The sequence below is a fragment of the Homo sapiens genome, chromosome 3, assembly GCF_000001405.40.
Source record: "Homo sapiens chromosome 3, GRCh38.p14 Primary Assembly".
In the NCBI taxonomy this organism is placed as follows: Eukaryota; Metazoa; Chordata; class Mammalia; order Primates; family Hominidae; genus Homo; species Homo sapiens.
In genome coordinates this window covers 67,439,430-67,461,381 of record NC_000003.12, presented here as the reverse complement: position 1 = coordinate 67,461,381, position 21,952 = coordinate 67,439,430, and the positions used below count along the sequence as shown (strand labels likewise).

At 41.1% G+C, this 21,952-nt stretch overlaps 1 protein-coding gene across 6 annotated transcripts in view, besides 1 other annotated feature; it reads left to right on the top strand.

The window, feature by feature from the left end:
• Positions 1-21,952, top strand: part of SUCLG2 (succinate-CoA ligase GDP-forming subunit beta) — a 294,153-nt gene that overhangs the window by 193,231 nt on the left and 78,970 nt on the right. The gene's annotated exons all lie outside the window — the stretch shown is intronic.
• Positions 16,920-17,625: an enhancer, noted in NCBI's record as "H3K27ac hESC enhancer chr3:67494181-67494886 (GRCh37/hg19 assembly coordinates)". NCBI's record gives its function as "activates a minimal SCP1, AML or CMV promoter by ChIP-STARR-seq in naive H9 embryonic stem cells {active_cell/tissue: H9 hESC(naive)}" and the evidence as "EXISTENCE:reporter gene assay evidence [ECO:0000049][PMID:30033119]".

Here is a 21,952-nt window from a genome sequence, read left to right as displayed (position 1 = left end):
GCCAGAATACAAGAATCACTTAAATATATAATCTATACTTTCAAGACTTCAAGCAGATTTATGGAGTTGGCAACAGAAAATGAGAAATGAGTTGGCTTCAATGCACTGTTAATGTTGAGAACCCTGAGTATCGTTTGGAGCGTTAAACTCATGCATGCTGTGGGTAAATTGTTAATGGTCGTATTTCAGTTTTCTTTATCTCAGAGCTTGGAAGAGAAATTTTAAAAGGCATTTTCTTAAAAACTCATAAAAAGAAAGAGCAGTCCCTTGTCATAGAGTTTTAAATCCTGCATGTAATTGGAATGTCTTTCAGCAGGAAAGGTACGACTCATGAATGTCTTGGGTCAGAGAGTACACTGGGCACTTGGGCAGTGAACCTGAGTGCTGGCTCTGTAGTGCAGAGACGTTAGACAAATTATGGAACCTCTGTCTCTCCACTTCCCCTCCCCTTCTTTATATCTTATCAGATAAACCCCAGAGAATGCTCACTAGAATGTTTGCATTGCCTATATTTTCTCCAACTGGTAGTGTTGGGAATGATTTTTTACTCTCTTCTTTACTGTATAGTTTTAATTTTTCCTTCCCAGTGGGCCTGTATTGTTTTTACTATCAGATCAAAATCAGTATTAAAGTATAGAGCGAGGATGAGAAGCTAGATTTCCTAAGTCCTTTTCTGGCCCTGTTAGGATTTTTATAATAAAAGTCCTACCATTGATTCAATATTACAGTGAATTAAAGCACTCCGATAATTTGGACCTCAGTTTCCTCAGCTGTAAAATGTGATATTAATGACCTCATCAGGGGAATGATTAACACCAGTGTGATCAAGAGGGCTTTGATGGAATTGCAGTTCTGTTTCCCTCCTGAAGTGTATGACCTTAGAAAAGTCACTTCCCATCTCTGAAGTCCATGTCTTCATAAAATGGAGTTAATGAAAACCTCACAAAGTTGATGTGAAGATTGATGAGAATAAGGTATTATAGCACTCAGCACAGAATTTGGTGTTTAATAAATGACAGATACTGCTGTTAATTTCTGCTATCATTATTATTGTCACTTTTATTGTACTATCATGTGATTATTGTGTGAACCAGATTGTAACTTTTACATAGAAGTTTTTCAGATTTAAGGTGTTATTACCACTGTTATTATTCTTAGCTACACTTCTACTACTGGAAATAATAAGACTTCAATCAGTAGTGATTTACTACCAAGAAATTAATTGGTATAAGGCAGGGCCTACTGAGATATCCAATATCAATTTTTTTTTCTTCCTTAATAGTAGAATCTCAACAAAATGTCAATTCTATGATATTGTTCCACCTCCCTTTCAGCTGGGTGGAATCACGTCACTGCTTTCTGGCCAGTGATATGTAAACAAAAGTGTAATGTGGGACCTCTGGCAAGGCTGTGTTTAAGAAGCTGAAGCAGCTGGGAAGGGAGCCCTTTTCCCTGCTCCTCACTGTTGCTTGGAATGACTTTACAATGGCAGGGGCTCCAGCAGCCCTCTTAGACTGAGAAATAACCTTAGAACGGTACCATTGCATGGTAGAGGAGACAAACCAAAGGCATCTGAGTTCCTGATGGACTCCTGGTAGCATCCTACCATCCCAGGCCTATCTACCACCAGTGTTCCTTTATGTAAGAGAATAAATCCTTGTATGTTTAAGTCCTTATATTTATTTCTTTGTTCCTAGCATCCAAATACAATTCTCAACTAATTTATTTAGTCTTGGTGCGAAGAGCTTTGGCATACTTTCTCTCATTTACCATGGAGTACTTCCAATAGTTCTGTTCTTCCCTGGTAAATTTCTTTTTCATTATATCACAAATAAACAAACTGACCCAAATTTAAACTTGACCCTTGAGCAAATCACCAAGCAAAAGCCTTCATAAAAAGAGTAAAGAAAGACACATGGATGTTTTTCTTGACATGCATTTTAGGCTTGTTTTGAAGATGGAATAGTTTTAGGGAATGGGGTAATTGGCCTGGGAAGTAGATTTGCTGCCTGCCTGGTGTTTTCCTTCCAACAGTTGGTGATAGCATGAATCTTGTGGGTTTTCTGTGTACATTGACTCCAGAAAGGTCATAGAGAATGTTGTTATTTCAGAATACAAAGAGAACTAAGTGTGTTTCCCTCTACTTAAATGTGCTTCGTCAAGCAGGCCACGTTAGCTTAAATAGTTGAGAATGAGGAAAACGTAAAACTGTGATAACGAATTCATATTAAAACACACACACACAAAACAGCTGCCCTTTGAATGGTTCACTGGTCACCAAGATCAGAGGCAGGTTGAATTAAGAGCATTTGGATAATTGACCTTCCATGTGAATGAATTAGAATAGATTAGATTTGATTGACCACATAACAATTTAAATCATAAAAAAGCCCCTTTTCTCTTTCCAGGCTACTTTGTTATATTGGGTCTCAAAGGTGATTAACCATGTGTTTTTCTTGTTGGAAGACTTTCCTGAACACAAATTAGCAGACTGAAAAAGAGATGGTAATATTTACATTTGCCATTTCTTTTTTAATTGAAAAACTCAAAGGACCATATGACAGACTGAGTTGTTTAACGATATTCCAGAAGGGCAGCATACTTGGAGTGTTTTAATATGCATTCAGCCGTCTCTTCCTGACTGGTGGGGTGGTTCCTGTTACTCAGATGGCCTGGGCAGTTGGGATGGGATGTTCTCAAGGTGCTTTTTTCCCCTCCGACCTTTGCTAGTGTGTGTGATGTGATGTGTTGAAAACCACTGTATAAACAATAAGCACCGGCTACTCATTTAGAGTCATGGAATTTCAGAGCTGAAAAGAATCTTAGACGTTCAGTGAGTTATTGACTCTCTTTACTTTAGAGATGATGAGACACAGTCAGTAATAGGAAATGCCCCACCCTCAGATGAGAAATGGAACTGCTGTGTGTTTGATAATATACAGAATTGTTCTCATGCAGTAAAGCCCTACCCCCTCGACTTATTATAGGAGGCGTTATTCAAATTGGATAAATGCTTCTGTAGAAGGATGATATTATTAGTGCCTATTTCTTAGGGTTGTTGTGAGATTAAAATGAGTCAAATGTCTATAAAGCACTGTTTTGGTTATTATTTCTGCATAGCAAACCACCCCAAAACTTGATAGAACCATTTTCTTATGATTTAGCAATCTGGCCTGGGGTTAGGTAGGCCATTCTTCCACTGTTCTTGTCAGTGTTCATTCGTGTGACTGCATTCAGCTGGCAGGTTCTGGGAAGGCGGGCCTCTTCCCTCATCCCCAGTTGTTGAAGGCCCCTCTGTCTCCATGTGATATCTCCAAAGGGCCCCTTCAGCAAAGTAACCAGCCTCCCTATGTGGCCCTTAAGCATCTGAGAGGGCAAAGGCAGAGACTCCCAAGCCTTCTCAAGGCATTGGCCTGAAACTGGTTCAGCATCTCTGCTGCCACATTTTCAGGACTAAAGCAAGTCACAGACTCAGCCAGGATCCAAAGGGAAGGGACTATGCAAGGGCATTTATAAACGTTGACAAGGTTCATTATAGAACACCATTGTAATGGACTATCCCAAGCATGTACCACTGTGTCTCATGCATGGTAAAGGTCCCATAAATGTTATTGCTCTCTTGCAGTATAGTAGTAATAGTAGTGGTAGCTGTTTTAGGAGTAAAAACAGCTAAAAAAAAAAAAAAAAAAAAAAAAAAGCTGCTTTTGTTCTTTTGTTGTTATAAGTAGATATAGATGGAAAACAATTTATATAGTTTTAAAAAATGAAATAATTTTATTTCTGTATCTCTTAGTTTAAATAACACCACTATCCACAGTTTTCCTCGGGCATCTTCTGTAAGTAGGAGGGTAGAATAAATTCCTTTAATCAGTAATTCCCCAATAAGTTCCCCAATTCCCCAATTCAAGCAGGTCTGAGTTAGGGACAGAGATTCTGTACTTCTAATAATTGTAACATTGAGAATCATAAAATTGATATTATTCAAGTTATAAAGTTAATTTCTGCACATGTTTCCCACCAAAATTGTTTTACATTTCCATGTATCACTTTAGAGCATGACATTTTTAGGAGAAGGAAATTGAAAATCTGTTCTTTTCTTTTGAACTGATTGCTTACCTGTTTCCGGATACATTTAATGCTGAAGATCTGGAGAACCATACTAGAGTCTACAAACTCAGAGGCACAGGTCTTAACCATTAGCAGCACCCAAAAATGGAGATTGGAGAGAGGAAGGACCATTCTTTCATTAAGAGCAAGTCATTAGATTGTCTTATGGAGGATATTTGGGGTTTGCTTGTGATGAGCCTTCCATGTCTAATGTTCATACAATGTTATTATATGATGACTTGAATGTTTTTCTTTTTGCTAAAGCTCTTTATCTGTCTAATTACAAAAATTATGCATTCATAATTTAAAATTTTCAAAAACTACATAAAGGTATAAAGAAGAAAAGGAAAATAACCTGGAGTTGTTTATGTCCACATTCATATTTTGGTGTGTATCATCCCAGACTTCATTTTAATATTTTCCCCCTAAACATGTTTTTCTCTCTGGCAAATATGTGCATTTGCTTTTAAATATTCAGAGCTGAATATCCTCAAGAAAGTTTCAAGTTTAGCTGTTTTGCTTGAGAGAGATACCGTGATGTATTTTTGCTAATATGTTTTAAACCTTGCATTATTTATAGTTTCTCCTTAGAAGCTTGAAATTAAAATTTCTTTTCTAACTGATTTTGATTCTTTCCTGTCTGGCTTACAATTGATTTCACCTCGCTGTGTTTCTAATGAAGCCTGAAATTACCATACCCTTGTTTGAGTTGAATGTGTTTTTCCCTATGCCCTCACATACCATGGATCACAGGGCAACTCTGTTCCTATTATCAGCTACATCTTCCTTTACTATCTATATTCAATTCAGTGTGTTCCAGTAAATCTTCCAATGAGGGCTTATACCGGGATTGAATAGACAAACATGTTTTTCAGTTACATTTGAGGAGCATTGATTTTCTCCATAGAGGGACCTATTTTTTCCTTTCGCTTTGCTGATATTCCCTAAGACCTGCCTATGTTATAGCCCTTGCATATAATGGGCCATATATTTTTGACCCAATTAATTTTTTATTTGATTGGTAATAAAGGAAGAGAGTCCTATGCAGTATAATTTAAGATATTCATGTATCAAGGGAGGAGGAAGGCCAGGCTGAATCCCGGAAGTCCCACCTCACTACCCAGACAGCAATCACATGATTCCAGGTTGAAAGGGATGCTGAAAAATATTATAAAATTGACATTCTGTTGAGATACTGCCACTAATGAAAGAAGAATTAACACTTGGTATCCCAATAGTCTCTGCCTTATACTGATCAATATCATGGGAGTGAATCACCCCTGATTGAGGTCTTACTACTTCCAGTGGTAGAATTAAATATAATAACAGTGGTAATAATACGTTAAATTTGAAGAGCCTTGGGCACAACAGTGCCCCTTACCCCACATATCCTTAGGGCAGGGTGATGGAGGTAAAGACCTGGAATATTGTGGTGTTCTTGCCGGGATTGAAACACTGGGTAGTAGAACAAAATGGAAAGGCCTACCCTTTCAGATACCCATATTTGAAAATCTTTATTCCTCATGCTTTTTCACTTTCTCTGCCATATTCCCTAAGAAGATCTTTGTCCCATCAGTGTTTTTTTTTTCCTCCACCCAGTACCTAGAGCACAGTACAGTGAATTTTGATTATAGTGTTTGTGCTAACATTGAGAATTACAAAATTGAAATTGTTTAAGTTAGAAAGTTAATTTCTGCATTCTCTCCCCATCAAAACTATTTTACATTGCCAGTATATATCACTTTCAAGCATTCCATTTTTAGGAGCAGGAAGAAATTTAAAATCTCCTCTTTTCCTCCAGTCTGATTCTGGAAAGTAGGCTCCCTTTTTAGTCATGGGATTTAAACTGAGTTGGTTAGGCAAACATGAAAGATGCTTATGGTGATTTATGCCCCACATCACAAGTGTATGTCAAGAGTGAAATAACGCCTGATGTGCAGGAGGATGGACCAGAAGACCCTCACTTACTCAAAGTGTGAGGAGGATGGGCCAGAGGCATCTACAATGTCCTTTTTGCCTTAATCCACAAAGCTCAGTTTCAAGTTATGGATTTGAAAATACTTGCTACAATTCAGGGACAAATGGACTAAAATATATATAGAAATAGAAAACTTGAAATAAGTAAATCTAAAACACTGAATATGTGAAATAGACCCTAAGAACTACATGCAATGTGTGAACTTTGAATGGATACTGCTTTGGGTATGTGTGTCTATAAAACATTCTTGGGATAACTGGGAATATTTCACTGCAGGCTGCATATTAGATGACAATAGGGGAATTGTTCATTTTCTTTTTTTTTTTTTTTTTTTTGAGACGGAGTCTCACTCTGTCGCCCAGGCTGGAGTGCAGTGGCGCCATCTCTGCTCACTACAAGCTCCACCTCCCAGGTTCACGCCATTCTCCTGCCTCAGTCTCTCAAGTAGCTGCGACTATAGGTGCCCACTACCATGCCCGGCTAATTTTTTGTATTTTTAGTAGAGATGGGGTTTCACTTTGTTAGCCAGGATGGTCTCGATCTCCTGACCTTGTGATCCACCCGCCTTGGCCTCCCAAAGTGTTGGGATTACAGGCATGAGCCACCACGCCCGGCCCATTTTCTTACATGTTGTAGTGTGATTAGGACAATGTTCCTATTTTTAGGAGATGCATTTGGGAGTGAAGTGTCATGATGTAGGCCACTCAGTATGAAATGCTTCAACAACTATCCATCTATCTATATATGTATAGCTACATATATCTCTATAGAGATAGATATAGAGAGGAAGAGAGGGAGAAAGCAAATATGGCAAATCGTTAAATACTACTAAAGGTAGGTAGAGGATACATGGGTAGGCTGTATAATTATTTCACCTTCTATTTTTTTTTTATATATTTGATGTTTTTCTTAGTTTGAAAGGTAAAAAAGTATTGCCTTGTAACCACCAGTGCGACCACAACCCTATCCTTTACTCTGTTCCTGGATCTCAAACCAATTTTTCATATTATTTATTCAACAATTACTCTATATACCAGCTACTGTTCCAAATCCTGGAGATATATAAATGGGTAAGATGTCGTCCCTCGTCCCTGTACTTAAAGAGCTCATGATTTAGAATGTTTCTTTTGCAATTTTTGTGCAGCTCTGTCAACTTCTTATCCAACATTGGGAATGAACATAAAAATTTACATCCACTTAGGCCTAAGAATATTTTAAGCAATTTATATTGATATAAGGCTGTCATCAGTCAGCCTATTAACTTCTAATTTTCTTGAAAAGTTTTATGTAAGAACAATAGGCAGTAATGGAATATTTAAGCCATTTGCACACACATACACACACACAAAATGCACGACAACGACAACCTTGGGGGTTTGCCCAAGTACATCGTGGCATTCTGGTTATATCTAGATATATTTCTGGCATACACAGCTAGAATTATGTTTCAACTGGATGGTCACATTTGTAACTGATACACATGTGACCAGTGAACACAGTAGTTTTCAAGAGGCATTGCCTTCTTGGGAGCCAAAGGCTTGATGTGGCCCCTCTATTAAGGAATATCAAGAGTTTCCCACTACTTGAAAATAACTGCATTGGAAGATTGTTTTCTTACTTCCTGATTTGTAGCCTGGTAACCAGTAAGGCAATACATATATATATTCATGCTAAATAATTTTGTTGTGTTCTGAATGTTTGTGCCCCTCTCCCCACCATTCGTAAGTTGAAATCCTAACCCTCAAGGTGATGATATTAGGAAGTGGGGCCTTTAGCAGTTGATTAGCTCATGAGGGTGGGCTCTCATGAATGTGATTAGTGTCCTTATGAAATAGGCCCAAGGGAGCTCCTTCATTCCTTCTGCCATGTGAGGACACAGCAAGAAGGTGGCACCACCTGTAATCCAGGAAACAGGCCCTCACCAGACATCAAATCTGTTGGTGCCTGGATTGTGATCTTTCAGACTCCAGAACTGTGAGAAATAAATTTCTGTTGTTTATAAACTATCCAGTTAATGGTGTTTTGTTTTAGACTATCAATAAGAATTAAAAGAAAATACTCATAAAAAAAAAAGAAGTCTGAATGTACTGAGGTAATTTTCTTCATATTATTCCTGTGAAAAGGAAAATGCTCATATAACTCAAAAATCATAATATTTGATATTCAGTGTTGTAGTCCTTGCTAATCAGCTGCAGGGTAAAGAAGAGAAATATGCTGAAGATGTTGGGCACGCAAAAGAGATGCATTTCAGGGTTATAATTAAAGAACTTAAAGGAGTTCAGAAAGAGAATGGGAAGGTCTACTTTAGACCTTCATCTATGATTACATTGAAAAGAAAATAATACCAGAGGCTCCTTTAAAACGTGCGAGATTATGCAGTTTCAAAAGGCAGTGCAATGGCTAGAAGATTCTTATATGTGTTACCAAGATCTGCAAAATTAAAATGGTATTCATGACTTGTAAACAAAGCTACTAATTGAACTATAATTTAGAAATGCGGTCCTGAATACAATTTCAGTCACAGAATGACAATTAGAGGAATTTATTAGATGTTATCTCTGATGCAGGGGAGTGTCTTGGGTTGGATTTAGTAATCTACTTGCTAGATGCTCAATAAATATTTGAGAGGGAAGGGCGGAAAGGAGGAAGAGTGGGAAGGGAGGAAGAGCTAAACTGGATGTGGATTGTTTAGTAAATTTGACAAGGAATTTGTGGTAACTTGAGCTACTAACTGAAACTTACCTGTTTTCTACATATTAGAAAGGGTTTAATAAAGAAACTAATAGAAGTAAAAGTATTCTTAGTCTGTTAAAAGTATTAATCATTACTGGCTCATTAAGCACCTCAAAAGCACTCATTCACATAAAATCAATGCACTAATTACAAACCAGTCTCGTCTTTGTAAAAGCAGGCCCAAATTTTTAGAAAATATTTCAATAGGCATAATTCATGGCCACACATGGAAAATACTTGAAACTTACAACCTTTAAAAATATTATGATAACTTATGCTTTTTATTAATGTATGTTTTATTCATTCCCCAAGTTAATATAAAGGGATGAGATTTTCTTACTAGGCAACATAAAATTGGGGAAAAGAATTATGGGAGTTCTGGAACTTAGATATTTTAGAAGCACATAGAGAGTTTTTGTTTTTTATTTGTATTTGTATTTCTGGAGAGGAGTTAATCACCAGAAGTTATTTTTTTATTACTCTGGTGTGAGGCTTGGCAAAGTATCTTTCCACAATTCCTAGATGATTCTAGGGAGTTGACAATGAATAGATTACATGGAGTCAGTTAACCTGGCTTCTAATGCAGATGCTCACACATTTTTCTGTTACCTTCAACAACTCTTTCAGTTATCCTGGTCCTCAGAATACTCATGCTTTCATTGACGGGGTTGGGCTATGGAAATTGGCAAACACTACACATCAGGTTCTTCCCCAGCCCCCCTCTTCCCTTGTACCACTACATCATAGATTATATTATCTTTAAAGTCCATTCAAACTTTAAGGCTGTATAAATCAGTGATCCCTTATTTCAAAAGTAATTATATTACAGACATTCTGAGATATTTACCATCTTTTAAAATTAACTCCAACTATAATTGCCGCCCCACCCCCACCAGAAGTAAAAAGTATAAGAAAGGGGATGAAAATTTGTATCTATGAAAATAGTCATTGTGGTAGAATATCCTTCCATTGATGATTGAGCTGAAGAACTCAAGACACCAGAAAAGAGATAACTGCTAGGACAACAAAATGTGAATTTGCCTGTACCTAGCCTAAACATGGTGGTGTACCTCCCTTGAGGATTATTTAACATCTGGTTGATTTTTGTTTTGTCACTCTTTTCTGACAACTGTACGTGAGAAATAGTCTCATTTTGGTTGTCTTAAGACTTACTTACGAAAACGAAGACCTAATATTTCAGTTAGTTTATCAAATGTACATTTTGACCTTGCAAATATCGATTCATTTATTTAATTCTTAAAATACTTGAGCATGTCTCATGGAGGAGGTGGCATTTGAGTTAGGTCTAAACAGATGAGTAAAGTTTGGATGAAGGAAGTGTAGGAAATGTATTCAAGCAGCCAAAACTACAGATTTAGAATTGTGAAAGGTGTTAGAAGAAATGTACATGGGCTGAGTGGAGGCCACTGCAAAAATTGGACAGTGTGTTGAGTTGTTCAGTTATAAGACACTGCTATCACTTGGTCACCTATAAATTGGGAATAATAGGAAGGAAGACCTTCCTCATAGAACTGTTTTAAGGGTTTTATGAGATAAGCAAGTGAAATTCCTAGGACAAGGCCTAGCACAGAGTAAGCGCTCAATAAACGCTACCTGATGGACATACCATGAGGCCAAAGAAGTGAATTAGGGCCAGGTTGTGAATGGCATTTTATGGCAAGCAGAGTTAGTTTAGTTTTGCACTTATGTGTTAGGGACTAGAGATAAGGAAGAAAGATAGCCATGGGCCAGATACAGTAGCAAGCCTTCTGGGATGGGCCAAGGCCTGGGAAATGATGTTGTTATCTTTTACAATAGTCTTTCCAAAATTGTGGATTGGGACCTGGTGATTCTTGAGAGAACTCCCTCTAGGTAGTTAAATAACAATATTAAATTAAATAGCCTTGATTTCTCCATAGAGGAATGGATAGAAAGATGATGTCTGAAAAAGGAAATACAGCAAATGCCAGATGATAGTATCTAGATGATGGGCATATAGGTGTTCACTGTTCAATTTTTTTCAACTTCTCTGTATACTTGAAAATTTTCACAATACAGTATTGGGGAAAATTGAGAAAGTGTATTCCCTCTTTAGTTCTTTTTCAATTCCAGAAAATCTCAAGAAAGTCTCTTGGTGCCAATATGGCTTAAACACTTTGCTTTGGCTCAGAGCCACTGGCAGCCTGTATCTAGTTACAATTTAATAAAACTATTGTACATTTTCCCAGGTTTGGTAGCTTGAGCCTGTAATTTCAGCCACTCAGGAGGCTGAGGTGACAGGATCGCTTCAGCCCAGGTGTTCGAGATCAGCCTGGGAATCATAGCAAAACCTCATCTCAAAAAAATATTTAAAAGTTAGCCAGGTGTGGTGGCACGTGTCTGTTGTCCTAGCTACTGGGGAAGATAAGGCGAGAGGATTGCTTGAGCCCAGGAGTTCAAGGCTGCAGTAAGCTATGATTATGCCACTGCACTTCAGCCTGGGCAACAGAGCAAGACCCTGTCTCTAAATTAATTAGTTAATTTTAAAAAAAATACTGTTTTTTTGTATTTTATTATCTTCAATTTATAGGAATTAATATGTTATTTTTCGTATTGATAGTGATACTGTTCTCTTTTCAAATAATGTATTTAAGCTTTAAAATATTCAGCATGGCCGAGTGCAGTGTCTCATGCCTGTAATCCCATCACTTTTGGAGGCCATGCAGGTGGATCACTTGAGGCCAGGAGTTCAAGATCAGCCTGGCCAACATGGCAAAACCACATCTCTACTAAAAATACACAAATTAGCTGGGCATGGTGGCACACACCTGTAGTCCCAGCTACTCAGGGGGCTGAGCGTGAGGATTGCTTGAACCTGGGAGGTAGAAGCTCCAGTGAGCGAGGTCACGCCACTGCACCCCAGCCTGGGCAACAGAGTGAGACTATGACTCAAAAATAAAATAAAATAAAAATAAAATATTCAGCAAATAGCAAACAGATAGTGTGCACTGTTGTGGTAAAAAAAAAAAAGGCAGAGGTATTATGTACATGTCTGATGACTGCTATAGGAAAAGGAGGATTATTGAAGAATTTGAAGTAAAGGACTGGACTAATTGTTTTGGAAGTTAAATTATTCACCCTCTGCTCTTTGTATGACTGCAGAATGAATATAGAGTTTTGGGCTTTTATAGTTCCTCTAGTCACTGTTAAACTTCAATATGTGACAGTGACTGCCTGTCTGCATGTTCAGATTTTCTTCACAAGCCTATGAAAGCAAAGATCCCAGATAAAGCTCATAGGCTTTCTAGTGCTTAAGATGTGGCACTCTTTACTTGCTTTTGGAAAACATTCACATATTTCCTAAAGGGGCAAGAGATATATATTCTTGAAATAAAATAGAGCCACTTAATCAGAGTGGTTTGCCAAAGGGGACTGCCTGTGGATTGGATTTTAATCTGTCTGTCACAGTCACCTTTTCTTTTTAGAATGTTCTTAATAGAATTTAGAAAACACCATAAAATACCTCACTTATATAAAGTAAATGTAAAATAATGTGTTTCTGTGAAAGCAAAAAAGCAAGAAATATTCAAATTCAACAGTGTTTTTATATTACTTCCATCTGTCTATTGTTACAATTCTGTGTTCATTACTATCTCAATGGAATTCAAAAGTTTTTTTTCACTACCAGAATCAACAGTAATAATGATAAGCAGTCAGAATAACTAGACTTTACCCACTAAAAGAAAAGAAAAAAAAACCTTTTTTACACTTGATTCAGAAATAGTGTTTTTTCATGCAGTTTAAACATTGTAAAAGTGTATTGTTTCCTAGTACCAGCTATATGTCCTTATGAACTTTCATATTTCTGATAAATTGTTAGAAGTAAAACTGCTAAAGCAACATATTAATATTTTAATTGTTATCTACTTTTTGAAACAAAAAGTAGCTGGTATCTCAGGTACTCCTGAGGTCGGGAATTTGAGACCAGCCTGGCCAACATGGCAAAACCCTGTCTCTACTAAAAATACAAAAATTAGCTGGGTATGGTGGCACATGTCTGTAATCCCAGCTACTCAGGAGGCTGAGGCATGAGAATCACTTGAACCCGGGAGCAGAGGTTGCAGTGAGCTGAGATTGCACCATTGCACTCCAGCCTGGGCTACAGAGTCAGAATTTAAGTGTGACTCTTCTCTGTTCCCCTTCTGATATGTTTACATGTCTCCTAATTTGTTCTTTAAATAAATGGACCCATCATATATGTATTCTGTGACTTACATTTTTACCTAATAGGTCTTAGATTTTTATGTTAATACAAATGAAACTATTTCATTCATTTTTATGACTGCATTCCATAAAATGAATGATAATGTATTACCAAGTCCCATCTTGATGGCTATTAAGTTATTCATAGTTTTTTGGGGATTTTTTTCATCCAGTGAATATCATCTATATATCCTTATGAACTTTTGTATTTCTGATAAATTGTTAGAAGTAAAACGGCTAAAGCAACATATTAATATTTTAATTGTTATCTACTTTTTGAAACAGATTTTCTCAGCCGGGTGCGGTGGGTCATGCTTGTAATCCCAGCACTTTGGGAGGCCTAGGCAGGCGGATCACCTGAGGTCAGGAGTTTGAGACCAGCCTGGCCAACATGGCAAAACCCTGTCTCTACTAAAAATACAAAAATTAGCCGGCCATGGTGGCACATGTCTATAATCCCAGCTACTCAGGAGGCTGAGACATGAGAATCACTTGAACCCGGGAGCAGAGGTTGCAGTGAGCTGAGATTGCACCACTGCACTCCATCCTGGGCTACAGAGCAAGACTCCGTCTCAATAAATAAATGCATTAATAATTGTCTCAATAAATAAATAAAATGGGACAAATTTTTTCAAGTTTTTATGAACTTTCTTTTCCATTGGCAAATATGTTGATTTGGAATATAGTTCATTAATTACCCAATACTTCTGTTGTGGGAGTCAAAGCTTCCTCCTGAAGTATCTTGTTCCTGTTTTCTGTATCCATTCAGTGTATTGTATTCTGCATTTCTCCTGCCCTCCATGACACACATTTTTCCATTTCTGTACCCCCAGATTGTGGGCATAATCAAATCAGAGTTGTACTGATTTTTGTAGCTACCTGCATCTATCCCAATGCCTGCCATGTAATAACTGCTCAATGAATATTGAAAAGATGGTAGGAAAAAAACTCATTCCTACACTTATAAAATCATATTTTCTATATTTAAACAGTCACTTTTTGGTAATGACTTGTTAAGACATTCCCTCTCATTGTTGGGGTTCAACTTTATAGTCAATTTTGTATTTAATTATAGTATTTTATGGTACTTCTAGTATTATTACAGTTGAGAAATGAGGTAGAAATCCTAGATGTTAGTAGGTAAAATGATTTTTTAAAATTAACTCAGTTTTATTGACCTTGAATTTTAGCATGTTTTTCAGTAGGTGATTCCTGTTAACATCTGCATTTTGACAACACACTTAAATAAAACTAGTGAACCAGAGAACAATGAATTTTCATCAGCTAATTACTAGTGATGATTTTAACCTGTTTCAAAAAACTAATGTTAACCTTTTTTGATTTTTAACCATTTTCTTCCTCAAACATAAAGGATTATTTAAAAATTTGCATCTTATTAAGGATTACATTAATGGAAGTATGCAATTAATAGATAATCTTTTTTTAATATGTCACAATTTAAAATAAAGTGAATAGTGATTATAGTGAATAAAGTGTGTAGTTATATATTTTTCTAAAAGTGAAATACCCTTTTAATGACCAACATTCTTTGAGTGCCTGGCATTGTTTTGCCTAAAAAGACCTGCACATGGCTGGGTGCAATAGCTTACGCCTGTAATCCAGGCACTTTGGGAGGCCGAGGCGGGCACATCACAACGTCAGGAGTTCAAGACCAGCCTGGCCAATATGGTGAAATCCCATCTCTACTAAAAAAAAAAAAAGAAATTAGCCAGGCGTGGTGGCAGGCGCCTGTAGTCCCAGCTACTCGGGAGGGTGAGGCAGGAGAATCCCTGAACCCGGGAGGTGGAGGTTGCAGTTAGCGGAGATCATACAACTGCATTCCAGCCTGAGTGACAGAGCGAGACTCTATCTCAAAAAAAAAAAAAAAAAAAAAAAAAAAAAAATGTACATATGTACATATTTAGATACCGGAGAGATCTAATTTCTTTTTTTTTTTTTTTTTTTTTATATACAAATGTTTATAGCAGCATTATTCATAACAGCCAAAAAGTAGAAACAATCCACTTTCCAAGGATGAACCTTGAAGTGATTGCCTAAATTATCCTTTTTACTTAGGCATTCACTTCCAAATCCAGCTGCGCATTGACATCACCTGGGAAGCTTATGCAGCTCCCTGGCAATCTTTGAGGATGGGATACCTGGATTAATGTTTGAATCCAGACTAGACGATCTCTAAGGTCCCTGATAGCCCCAAAACTTGTATAAAATCTCTAATAGTGGGTCACCAATGCCCACATCTTTGAAGAAGAGACATTATTGGTACTTGGAACAGGTCTCCCGATAGGTCCGTCTAGAAGCCTAAGTTGGTTCTTCTCTTAGGCATCATCCCAACCTCCTCAAGGTTGAATAAACATATTCTTAACAAGGATGAACTATGGCTGAAGGGATAGGTCACATCTGATTATGTCTGTGTAGTCTGCTATACTAAGAAATCACCCCATTTTGAAGAAAGTTACTCATTAGCACAGAACTTGTCGCTGCAGTTGAGAATAACCAGTTCCTCCTTCTATGACATTTTTTTTTTTTTTAAATGAAATTTTTCAAAATAACTTTAATAACCACTTTTACACTGAGCAGAATATGTCTCTCATTCTCTCAAAAATGGTCAGGAGATAATTTTTTCATTTATGAGTTTCTATTGCAGCTTTCATTTTCTTTTTTTTTTTTTTTTTAATTTATTTTTTTATTGATAATTCTTGGGTGTTTCTCACAGAGGGGGATTTGGCAGGGTCATGGGACAATAGTGGAGGGAAGGTCAGCAGATAAACAAGTGAACAAAGGTCTCTGGTTTTCCTAGGCAGAGGACCCTGCGGCCTTCCGCAGTGTTTGTGTCCCTGATTACTTGAGATTAGGGATTGGTGATGACTCTTAACGAGCATGCTGCCTTCAAGCATCTGTTTAACAAAGCACATCTTGCACCGCCCTTAATCCATTTAACCCTGAGTGGACACAGCACATGTTTCAGAGAGCACAGGGTTGGGGGTAAGGTCACAGATCAACAGGATCCCAAGGCAGAGGAATTTTTCTTAGTGCAGAACAAAATGAAAAGTCTCCCATGTCTACTTCTTTCTACACAGACACGGCAACCATCCGATTTCTCAATCTTTTCCCCACCTTTCCCGCCTTTCTATTCCACAAAGCCGCCATTGTCATCCTGGCCCGTTCTCAATGAGCGGTTGGGCTCACCTCCCAGACGGGGTGGTGGCCGGGCAGAGGGGCTCCTCACTTCCCAGTAGGGGGGGCCGGGCAGAGGCGCCCCTCACCTCCCGGACGGGGCGGCTGGCCGGGCGGGGGGCTGACCCCCCAACCTCCCTCCCAGACGGGGCGGCTGGCCGGGCAGAGGGGCTCCTCACTTCCCAGTAGGGGCGGCTGGGCAGAGGTGCCCCTCACCTCCCAGACGGGGCGGCTGGCCGGGCAGGGGGGCTGACCCCCCCCACCTCCCTCCCGGACGGGGCGGCTGGCCGGGCGGGGGACTGACACCCCCACCTCCCTCCCGGACGGGGCGGCTGGCCGGGCAGAGGGGCTCCTCACTTCCCAGTAGGGGCGGCTGGGCAGAGGCGCCCCTCACCTCCCAGACGGGGCGGCTGGCCGGGCAGGGGGGCTGACCCCCCCCACCTCCCTCCCAGACGGGGCGGCTGGCCGGGCGGGGGACTGACACCCCCACCTCCCTCCCGGACAGGGCGGCTGGCCGGGCAGAGGGGCTCCTCACTTCCCAGTAGGGGTGGCCGGGCAGAGGCGCCCCTCACCTCCCGGACGGGGCGGCTGGCCGGGCGGGGGGGTTGACCCCCCCACCTCCCTCCCGGACGGGGCGGCTGGCCGGGCAGAGGGGCTCCTCACTTCCCAGTAGGGGCGGCCGGGCAGAGGCGCCCCTCACCTCCCAGACGGGGCGGCTGGCCGGGCGGAGGGCTGACCCCCCCACCTCCCTCCCGGACGGGGCGGCTGGCCAGGCGGGGGGCTAACCCCCCCACCTCCCTCCCAGACGGGGCGGCTGGCCGGGTGGGAGGGCTGACCCCCCCATCTCCCTCCTGGACGGGGTGGCTGGCCGGGCTGAGGGGCTCCTCACTTCCCAGTAGGGGCGGCCGGGCAGAGGCGCCCCTCACCTCCCGGACGGGGCGGCTGGCCGGGCGGGGGGCTGACTCCCCCACCTCCCTCCCGGACGGCACGGCTGGCCAGGCGGGGGGCTGACCCCCCCACCTCCCTCCCGGACGGCGCGGCTGGCCAGGCGGGGGGCTGACCCCTCCACCTCCCTCCCGGACGGGGCGGCTGGCCAGGCGGGGGGCTGACCCCCCCACCTCCCTCCCGGATGGGGCGGCTGGCCGGGCGGGGGGCTGACCCCCCCCCACCTCCCTCCCGGACGGGGTGGCTGCCGGGCGGAGACGCTCCTCACTTCCCAGATGGGGTGGCTGCCGGGTGGAGAGGCTCCTCACTTCTCAGACGGGGCAGCTGCCGGGCGGAGGGGCTCCTCACTTCTCAGACGGAGTGGTTGCCAGGCAGAGGGTCTCCTCACTTCTCAGACGGGGCGGCCGGGCAGAGATGCTCCTCACCTCCCAGACGGGGTCTCGGCCGGGCAGAGGCGCTCCTCACATCCCAGATGGGGCGGCGGGGCAGAGGCGCTCCCCACATCTCAGACGATGGGCGGCCAGGCAGAGACGCTCCTCACTTCCTAGATGTGATGGCGGCTGGGAAGAGGCGCTCCTCACTTCCTAGATGGGATGGCGGCCGGGCGGAGACGCTCCTCACTTTCCAGACTGGGCAGCCAGGCAGAGGGGCTCCTCACATCCCAGACGATGGGCGGCCAGGCACAGACACTCCTCACTTCCCAGACGGGGTGGCGGCCGGGCAGAGGCTGCAATCTCGGCACTTTGGGAGGCCAAGGCAGGCGGCTGCTCCTTGCCCTCGGGCCCCGCGGGGCCCGTCCGCTCCTCCAGCCGCTGCCTCCCGAGGGGCGCTCGCCGGCGCGGCGGCAAAGACTGAGACAGCTCCGCTGCCCGCTGAACTCCATCCTCCCGGCGGTCCGAGATCTAATTTCATTAGTTCCTCAATATCCTTGGGGAATTGGTTCCAGACTCCCTTGCAGATACCAAAATCAGCACATGCTCAAGTCCCTGATATAACATGATACAATATATGCATATAACCTAGACACATCCTCCTTTATAGTTTAAGTCATCTCCAGATTACTTGTAATACCTCATACAATGTACTTGCTATGTAAGTAGTTGTTATACTGTATTGTTTATGGAGTATGACCAAAGAAAGTCTGTACATGTTAAGCACAGGCAAAACCGTCCTTTTTTTCGTTTCTGAATATTTTTATACCGTGATTAGTTGAATCCATGGATGTAGAACCCATGGATAGGGAGAGCTGATTGTATTATTTATGTGTGTGACTCTTACAATTGTGAAGGGGATGCACATTTCAGGAGTGCATTTTTATTTTGTCTGAATTCAGTCTGGGAAATGATTAATTACAGGGCAATATTTCTTGTCAAGTTGTGAATAAATATGTTTAGCATTAGTATAGATGTTTACAAACAAGAAAACTCATACTGCTTGCCAAGCAGTTGATTAAAAAATGCATTCAGTTCACCACAAAGTCTCTGTAGGAAAAATCTTTACATTTGTATGGGTTGGCATTTAGTAATTAAATCTCTAAATATTTTGATTAGGCTGAAGGCCACCCAAAGTCTTTGGTCATATCTGAAAAACACTTTCAGCCATCAGTAGGAACAAAGCTCTAGGACAGCCACTGTCATTTTCACAGGAGTCTTAAATCTAGAGCAGTGTGCATAAGAATCCCCTGGAAAGCCCTTTAGAACACAGATTCTTCAGCCCCACCTTTAGAGATTCCAATTTAGTAGCCCGGGGTGGGGACGCAAAATGTGCAGTTGTCACTAGCTTCAGGCCAATACTGATGCCGCTGTTCCAGGTACCATAGTTTGAGAACCACTGTTCTGGGGATTTCAGTTGTGATTTGAAAGTAGACAGCCTGGCCGGGCGCGGTGGCTCACGCCTGTAATCCCAGCACTTTGGGAGGCCGAGGCGGGCGGATCACGAGGTCAGGAGATCGAGACCATCCCGGCTAAAACGGTGAAACCCCGTCTCTACTAAAAATACAAAAAATTAGCCGGGCGTAGTGGCGGGCGCCTGTAGTCCCAGCTACTTGGGAGGCTGAGGCAGGAGAATGGCGTGAACCCGGGAGGTGGAGCTTGCAGTGAGCTGAGATCCCGCCACTGCACTCCAGCCTGGGCGACAGAGCGAGACTTCGTCTCAAAAAAAAAAAAAAAAGAAAGAAAGTAGACAGCCAGATTGATGAAATCAACCCTTTTTAAAAAGGCTTTTGCTTGACAGGTATTTTATATATTTCAGAACAAGATACTGATGGGAAAGAAAGATGGCAAAGTGTTTTCTGTAAGATTTGGGAGGAGGAGCAGATGGGAAGCCAGTATGTTTGCCCTTTTATTTCTCTTTTCATTAACAGCAGTGGGGAAATATTCTGAGTTATTTTTCTTGGTTCCTTTCATGCCCTCTCCTTCTTTCCTAACAGCAAGTATGTTGGAAGTGGCTTGAACTCTGCCACTTCTAGCAATGTCATCTTGGGTAGATTACTGTATATGTTAGTTATCTGTATTACTTTGTAACAAAAGATCCTAAAGTTGAGCAACTTAGAACAACATCTATTATCACTCCCAGTTTTTGAGGGTTGGAAATACAGGAGCAGCTTAGCTGGGTTGTTCTGGCCAGGGGTCTCCCATGAGGTTACAAACTGTTGGTTAGGGATGCAGTCTCAGAAGTATTTGGAGTATGTTTTCAAGCTCACACGCAGACATATTTGCAGGAGGCTTCAATTCCTTCCCATGAGTCTCCATAGGGCTACACATGACAAGACAGGAGACTCAACACAACACTGAAGCCACAGTCTTTTTTTTTTTTTTAAGTTCTGAGATACATGTGCAGAATGTGCACGTTTGTTACATAGTTATACACATGCCATGGTGGTTTGCTGCACCCATCAACCTGTCATCTACATTAGGTATTTGTCCTAATGCTATCCCTCCCCTAGCCCCCCAGCCCCTGACAGGCCCCAGTGTGTGATGTTCCCCTCCCTGTGTCCATGTGTTCTCATTGTTCAACTCCTACTTATGAGTGAGAACATGCAGTGTTTAGTTTTCTGTTCCTGTGTTAGTTTGCTGAGAATGATGGTTTCCAGCTTCATCCATGTCCTGCAGAGGACATGAACTCATCCTTTTTATGGCTGCATAGTATTCCATGGTGTATGTGTGCCACATTTTCTTTATCCAGTCTATCATTGATGGGCATTTGGATTGGTTCCAAGTCTTTGCTATTGTAAACAGTGCTGCAGTAAACATAAGTGTGCATGTGTCTTTATAGTAAAATGATTTGTAATCCTTTGTCTATATACCCAGTAATGGGATTGCTTGGTCAAATGGTATTTCTAGTTCTAGATCCTTGAGGAATTACCACACTGTCTTCCACAATGGTTGAACTAATTTACACTCCTACCAACAGTGTAAAAGCATTCCTGTTTCTCCACATCCTCTCCAGTATCTGTTGTTTCCTGACTTTTTAATGATCGCCATTCTGAATGGCATTAGATGGTATTTCACTGTGGTTTTGATTTGCATTTCTCTAATGACTGGTGGTGATGAGCTTTTTTTCATATGTTTGTTGCTGCATAAATGTCTTCTTTTGAGAAGTGTCTGTTCATATCCTTCACCCACTTTTTGATGGGGTTGTTTGTTTTTTTCCTGTAAATTTAAGTTCTTTGTAGATTCTGGATATTAGCCCTTTGTCATATGGGTAGATTGCAAAAATTTTCTCCCATTCTGTAGGTTGCCTGTTCACTCTTGTGATAATTTCTTTTTCTGTGCAGAAAGCTCTTTAGTTTGATTAGATCCCATTTGTCAATTTTGGCTTTTGTTGCCATTGCTTTTGGTGTTTTAGTCAGGAAGTCTTTGCCCGTGCCTATGTCATGAATGGTATTGCCTAGGTTTTCTTCTAAGGTTTTTATGGTTTTAGGTCTTACATTTAAGACTTTAATTCATCTTGAGTTAGTTTTTGCATAAAGTGTAAGGAAGGAGTCCAGCTTCAGTTTTCTGCATATGGCTAGCCAGTTTTCCAAACACCATTTATTAAATAGGGAATCTTTTCCCCATTGCTTGTTTTTGTCAGGTTTGTCAAAGATCAGATGGCTGTTGATGTGTGGCGTTATTTCTGAGGGCTTTGTTCTATTCCATCGGTCTATATATCTGTTTTGGTACTAATACCATGCTGTTTTCGTTACTGTAGCCTTGTAGCATAGCTTGAATTCAGGTAGTATGATGCCTCCAGCTTTGTTCTTTTTGCTTAGGATTGTCTTGGCTGTATGGGCTGTTCCTGGGTTCCACATGAAATTTAAAGTAGATTTTTCTAATTCTGTGAAGAAAGTCAGTGGTAGCTTGATGGGGATAGCATTGAATCTGTAAATTCCTTTTGGCAGTATGGCCATTTTGACGATATTGATTCTTCCTATTCATGAGCATGGAATGTTTTTCCATTTGTTTGTGTCCCCTCTTATTTCCTTGAAGAGTGGTTTGTAACTCTCCTTGAAGAGGTCCTTCACATCCCTTTTAAGTTGTATTCCTAGGTATTTTATTCCCTTAGTAGCAATTGTGAATGGGAGTTCACTCATGATTTGGCTCTCTGTTTGTTATTGGTGTATAGGAATGCTTATGATTTTTACACACTGATTTTGTATCCTCAGACTTTGCTGAAGTTGCCTATTAGCTTAAGAAAATTTGGGGCTGAGACAATGGGGTTTTCTAAATATACAATCATGTCATATGCAAACAGAGACAATTTGACTTCCTC